The sequence below is a fragment of the Homo sapiens genome, chromosome 3, assembly GCF_000001405.40.
Source record: "Homo sapiens chromosome 3, GRCh38.p14 Primary Assembly".
NCBI classification, from domain to species: Eukaryota; Metazoa; Chordata; class Mammalia; order Primates; family Hominidae; genus Homo; species Homo sapiens.
Window position 1 is genome coordinate 3,499,933 of NC_000003.12, and position 6,460 is coordinate 3,506,392.

Genomic DNA, 6,460 nt, shown 5'->3' on the forward strand with positions numbered 1-6,460 from the left:
GAAGATGAATGAAAACTGGCGCCATGTGGAGGCTGCCAGGATGAGAAGCAGAAACCTCACCTGACCGTTGATCGATGAAACCGTAAAGGTTACAAGAATTGTTAATGTGGAGACAGATGAGCAAAGGACACTGAAAAAGGCAAAAAACGCTAAACTCTTTTTGCTTATTTCTTTTATAAATCACTACACAAAACGGTCTATATGTAATGAATTGCCTCTTGCCACTGTCCCTACAGGTTGAAGATTAATTAAAAGCATTTTCAGTTACTGATCTAATTACGTGTTTTGTGGTGGTGGTGGTTTTTCATTTGTGGTCTGTTTTCATTTTTGCTTTGTTTTGATTTTTGGTGGGGAAAACCAGTTCTAGACTGAAGTGTTAAGGAATTGGGTAGAAAGATATTTTTATTAACTAAGAGTTAGTAAGCATTGAATAACAAGAAAGCATAACAAAGCAAGTTATAAAACTGTGTTTATTTATAACCAATTTATTTTGAAAAGATGGAATATTATAGTAGCTAGCACTTAGATGGCACCCCCCTATGGGCCAGGCATTTTTCTGAGTGCTTCACATTCATGAACTCATTTAGTACTCACTCTATAGGTAAATACCAAATTACCATGACGAATGAGGAAACTTAGGCACAGAGAGAAGTTAAGAAAATTTCCCATCACCTCAGAGAGGTGGGCAGAGGGATGAATGAAGAGACGGATGGGTGAATCAATCTGTGATAGTGTTCACCAAAAAATTAATAGTGATTATTTATTGATATTAAGGTAGGATTCTTTGTTATGTTCATTTTATTATTTTGATACTTCTAGAACATTATAAATATTTCTCATTGAAAAGCTATATATTTTTATAATCAGGAAATAAACATCAATAGCTATTGTCATTTCAGAGCAAAATGTTTCATGTATGGAACATAGCTTTATAGGCTTTGATGATTCAGATATATCCCATTGAACATCTTGATCTGAATGTGGCACAGTCAGCTCAAACCCAATCAGTTCCAAATGGACAGAAGTTCATCTTCTCTCCAAACCTTCTCCTCATCCTCATTCTTTTTCTCAGTGAATGGTGCCACCATATACCTACCCATTCAAGAGAGAAACCTGGGAGTTACCCCAGAAACTTCACTCCATTCTATCCCATATGGTCAGTAGTTGAGCAAGTTTAGTTAATTTCATCGCCCACCTGGTTCTCAGACCAACGCCTTCCTCTCGTTGGCCCTTTCTCTCTTCGTCATTGTCTTTACTAACCTAGTTAAGGCTCTTAGCATCTTCTGCCTGCAATATTGCAATAGCCTCCCAATTGATCTTGTTCCCTCCCTCCATCATGTTCATTCTTCTCTCTCCCCTCTCCTATCGTACCAGCCATCCTGTCTACAAAAGCTAGGCTTGTGGACATATGACCATATTATGCCCCTGCATAAAATTCTCAAGTTGCCACTTGTTATACAAAATAAAAACTAATTATTAAATAAAAGGACCTCCATGATATGGTTTGGCTCTGTGTCCTCACCCAAATCTCATCTTGAATTGTACTCCCATAATTCTCACATATTGTGGGAGGGACCCAGTAGGGGATAATTGAATCATGAGAGCGGTTTCCCCCATACTGTTTTCCTGGTAGTAAATAAGTCTCATGAGATCTGATGGTTTTATAACGGGTTTCCACTTTCACTTCTTCCTCATTCTCTCTTGCCACTACCATGTAAGAAGTGCCTTTCACCTTCTGCCATGATTGTGAGTCCTCCCCAGCCACGTGGAACTGTGAGTCTATTAAAGCTATTTTTCTTCCCAGTCTCGGGTATGTCTTTATCAGCAGCGTGAAAATGGACTAATACACTCCATGATCCAGATCACCTACATCTTTCTAATGTCCCAAGCATAAGCTTCCCTTTTACTCTGTTAACTCCCCATCTGCATAGGCTTTTCTGTACTTACCTAACCTTATACTAAGGATAACCACCTTCAGAATCATGCTATTCCTTCCATCTAAAACGCCTTCTGCTGGATTTAAATATTTCTACCCTTAGGCTCTAGGACAGAGCCTACTACCCATTTATTATATTCATTTAGCATTTATGAGGCACTTACTAAACATCAAGCAGTTTGCCAGTGGTGGTGATGTAAGACTAAACCTAAGCCAACCTGGTTCCTGCAAAGAGTGCACACAATTCCTCCCCTTTTTCCCAGGACTATTGGTTTTAGCACTGCAAGTCCAGAGTCCCAGGAAGCCCCTCAGGCCTGGGCAGTCCAGGACAGCTGTTACCTGATTTGTGCACCAAGTAAATTTATGGTCTAGCAAGGAAAGTTGCTTAATAAATGACCACTTAAAAATTGTATAAATGAAAGAATTACTTTTTATCACACCTGAGGATGGTATTATGAACATCTTTTATCTTTATATAATTTTACAATAAATTAAAAATAAACCTGAAATAAATTTTACAATGGAGAGAAAAACATTTAATGTAGTGAACACAAATCCTAACATGGACGGAATCAGATTGTCTAACTAACGGGGTACAAATGTTGCCAGGACAGCTGCGAAAGGCTTCCTGGAGGGACGGAGGTGAGAACAAAAACTTTGTCTCCCACGAAGGCCAGTGAAAACTCAGCTTGTGTTTATTCCTGTGATATGTGTTCCATGGGAGGAAATTCTCCTTGACAGTTTCATGGGAAGGGGGTTAGAAAAGCAGGAAATAAGTGAAAGGACTTCTTAATCCCCTCCTGGAAACTCTTCATCGTCCGCATCTGTAGAGTGTGGATAATAGAGGTACCTAACTAACTCTTAAGTTTTTATGAGAAATAAATTAATTTAATGCACATAAAGTACTTAGGACAGCGCCTGGCACATGGTAATTCTTCAAAAGTATTAGATTATATCACCACCTCCTCTGCCTTCTATCTCCACTACTTGTTCTATGTGTGGCCACCAGAAATGTCAGGAGAGGAGCGGGAGATAAAAAGGAAGGCAGGCCGGGCTCAACATCTATTCTTGGCTGAATCTGAGAAGAGGCTTTGGAAAGTGGGTAGACAGAGGGGTTTGATTTCCATGTTCACCAGGTTTCCCCAGCATACAGTGGAGAGCAGAACAATTTAAGATTCAACCTTCAAACCTACCCTGTTTCAACTCACGAAACCATCTGCATCCCCAAGAATATGTGCCGACAGGAAGAGATTTTAAAAGATGGTCTATGGGATACACCAAGAAAGAAATCCCTTTCTCAAAATATTCCAACACAATCTAGTCCATATTAATAACAAAAATAAAATCTAGTAAATAAATAACTTTTTATACTTAAGCCAAACATCATTGAACTTAAAAATCAGGATGAGTCGAGACTATTCACACAGATTTACATTAGCCTTAATAAATAATAAGCAAAAATTTCATCTTTTTCTGAGAGGCTTAAAAACAATCTGATATTTATATTCTGGAGATAGGAATACAGTCATATTCTTTTATAAGTTAGTTGAATTAAAGAGATGAAATAATCAAACCAAGTATACGCATTGACATTTTTCTGGCTCCCTTTAAAAAAATGGGTTATTTCAAGTCAACTCAAATATATAGGAATAAATACATTCAGAGCCCAGACACTAAAATTGCAACCAGATGGCCAGAGGAGTCCGTCTGAGTTCAGAAGTTTGCATTCCAATAATCCCCCAGTGGCGCTCTTCAGTGCATGTGGCCATTGCAGCACATGGCTCATCTTCAAGCATCTTGCCCAAACATATGGCCTCAAGGAGGTGCAGTTGATGGCTGGGAGTTATAAGTGAGCTTTAATCTCAGTAACTTTGATGATAAATGTTCAGCTAAAATCTGAGAAACAGCCGGTTTGAGCAAAGACTCACCAGGCAGAGAAAGAGATAGTGTGAGGGTAGGGGTCTCTGCCTGGGAAACAACAAAAGCAAAACAATTACCCCTAGAAAAGCTCAGACTCCCTTATCTAGGTCTTCGGCAGAGGCTCCTCTCCAAGAGTCCCTCTGCTGTCACAGCTGTGGGCCAATGACCAAATGGTCATAGGTATCATGAACACAGCATCCCACATTCTGAGATGTTCCCAACCCTTTACCCTACCTCCACTGGCAATAAAACAAACAAAAGAAAAACTCCCTTACGGATATGTATGCAATGCCTGGGTTATTTACCACTGCCTGATTAAACAGACATGAGCATAACTAACCATCTACTTAACTGGTTTCCAATAGAAATCATGGCAGGCTGAAAGTAAATCATTCAATAGCCCTAAAGAGAAACTTATTACAGGTTACTCTGAAGCTCTACAATCCATAGAGCAATTTTCACAGTCCTGCAGGAATCTAAGTGGTATTCTTTGTGGCAGATGCAAAACTGATTATGTCACTTCCTTGCTTAAACTCTTTAATGATTATCCATTGCTCTGATGAAGGTGGTCAAAAAATTCTTAGCCTTAATAACAGTGAAGAGGAGTAGGAAAGGGCTAGATCTTGAGCTCCCCTGCTTCCTCCTGCATTATTCTCTATGCTTGGCTTCTCTACATTTCCTTATTCCTCTAACTATCAAAATTCTTCACCTGGGCACCTGACACACACTATTTCTACTGCTTACATGCTTGTACTGCCTCTTAGTCAATCAATGCCCCGACCCCTCCTTTCTTTTGTATTAGGATCATTTATTTTCCTGGTGGAAAACTGAAGATTCTTTTTAAATCAACTCTTATTTATCCAACTTTCTTTTGGCCTTTAAGCAACAGTTAATTACTTCCTTGGGAAGCCTTCCCTTCCTCCCCTGGTCAATTTGGGACCCTATTACTGTAGCTCAGCCTGTAATTTTTTTCTTGTAATTCTCATTACAATTGCAATCATTTTTGTAATTTTTTAAAGATATATGTCTCCCTTGTGGAACTGGAACTTTCACTTACTCACAGACCCAGCCCAGTTCCTGAGACAATGCCTGGGATCTAGTACTTATAAACATATCTTTGTTGAGTGAAAGAGTGAATAATGACTGCCTGACTTGGCAAGTAGTGGGGTGGCAGTGGGGCCATGAAGAAGGCAAAGGCCGTGATGCTGGACACAGATGTGTCCAATGCTTATTCCAAGACTAGTGGCTAGATAAAGCTCATGAGAAAGCTAAGTCATGGGTTTCTGCTATATTTGTTTCTAGAGTTACCTTCTTAACAAGCAAACAAACATATAGACAGTAGGGCATTCGGTAGGGAATTTCATCACTCTACCATAAGTTTCAGTGTGTTCTTGAAATTAAAGTATGGACAATTTTGACACCTTCACTTTCCAAATGTCTATTAATAAGTCTCCCAAAGTAAGGTCTCTCACTAACCAAAGCTGACAACTTTTCTAATATGATGTTTAAGGTTTTGCAAAACCACCATATGCTGGAGATAATTCAGTGTTCATCTAACTATGACCTGGTTTCACAAATTTTGAAAAAGGAGACAAAGAATGGCAAGATGACACACAATCTCTCCCTTGGCCTTATTACAATAACTGAAATGCAATGGAATGTGGCTGTTTCACATTCTTGGAAGGGGGCAGCAAATCGTGGCTCCCAAAAGACACCTGTGAAGAGCAAATGCTGGTCACACACACCTGGCTTCTGTATGCAGTTTCCACACTTCCATCTGGTGGTGCCACCTTTCTCAAGAGTAAGTCTCTACGTTTAATTTAGAAATTTTATCTTTACAAGAAAATAGAATTTTAAAGGGTCTTAAAAATCATGTTGGTGATACCTGTGAGCCTCAATATAAAGTTGAATTACAAGGGTGAAATGAGAATGCCTGAAACTCCAGCTCAACAAATTTGATGCTTCACTCAATGGATGATAATAGAATATTTCGTAAAGTTGCTTTACCTGTGTTGTTAATAACAAGGTGACATTTATGGAACTAATAAACTGTAAAGTCCATTATGGCTTATTGCTGATTCTTGAACATAAGCCTTGTAATATATTCATTTATAAAAACCATTTGAGCCATTTAAATATCATTAAACCATGGCAGAATTAAAATGAGTTTTCTCCCTGTGGGCTCAGGTGCATGGGAGTACAGTTATTATTTCTGCAGGCCAGTTATTGGCTTGGAGGCTGATATATGATGGTGATGGGCTTCTGCTGCCATTGCCGGGGATAGGGGTCAGATCAAGGAGTGTGGTGACTTCCTAGGGAAGGTAACTGGAGTGAAGTATCCTTTTATTCCTCATTCCTCAGTCAGAAAAGTAGTGCGTCTTTTTACCAGATTGAAGCATGACTTAAAGTTTTCTCCTATTATCCTCACCGTTTATGTCCTAATCTGTGATTCTTACTGGAATGAGTGTGCAGGCTGAAACATTAATTGAGAGAAGTCACAGGAGTTTTCTACAGGGGTTAACTCTATCTGCATTGTTGTCTTAGTTCAAATCCCTCTTGTTTTCATCTGGATAATTGCTGGGCCCAGGAGCTGGTCTCCCAGCC

General features: G+C 39.3%; 2 annotated features.

Annotated features, from left to right (window-relative positions):
* Positions 5,496 to 5,665: an enhancer, noted in NCBI's record as "experimental_69928 CRE fragment used in MPRA reporter constructs". NCBI's record gives its function as "activates a minimal promoter by MPRAs in K562 erythroleukemia cells, with activity observed for the introgressed 3:3547197 variant allele {active_cell/tissue: K562}" and the evidence as "EXISTENCE:reporter gene assay evidence [ECO:0000049][PMID:34662402]".
* Positions 5,772 to 5,941: an enhancer, noted in NCBI's record as "experimental_69934 CRE fragment used in MPRA reporter constructs". NCBI's record gives its function as "activates a minimal promoter by MPRAs in K562 erythroleukemia cells, with activity observed for both the introgressed and non-introgressed 3:3547473 variant alleles {active_cell/tissue: K562}" and the evidence as "EXISTENCE:reporter gene assay evidence [ECO:0000049][PMID:34662402]".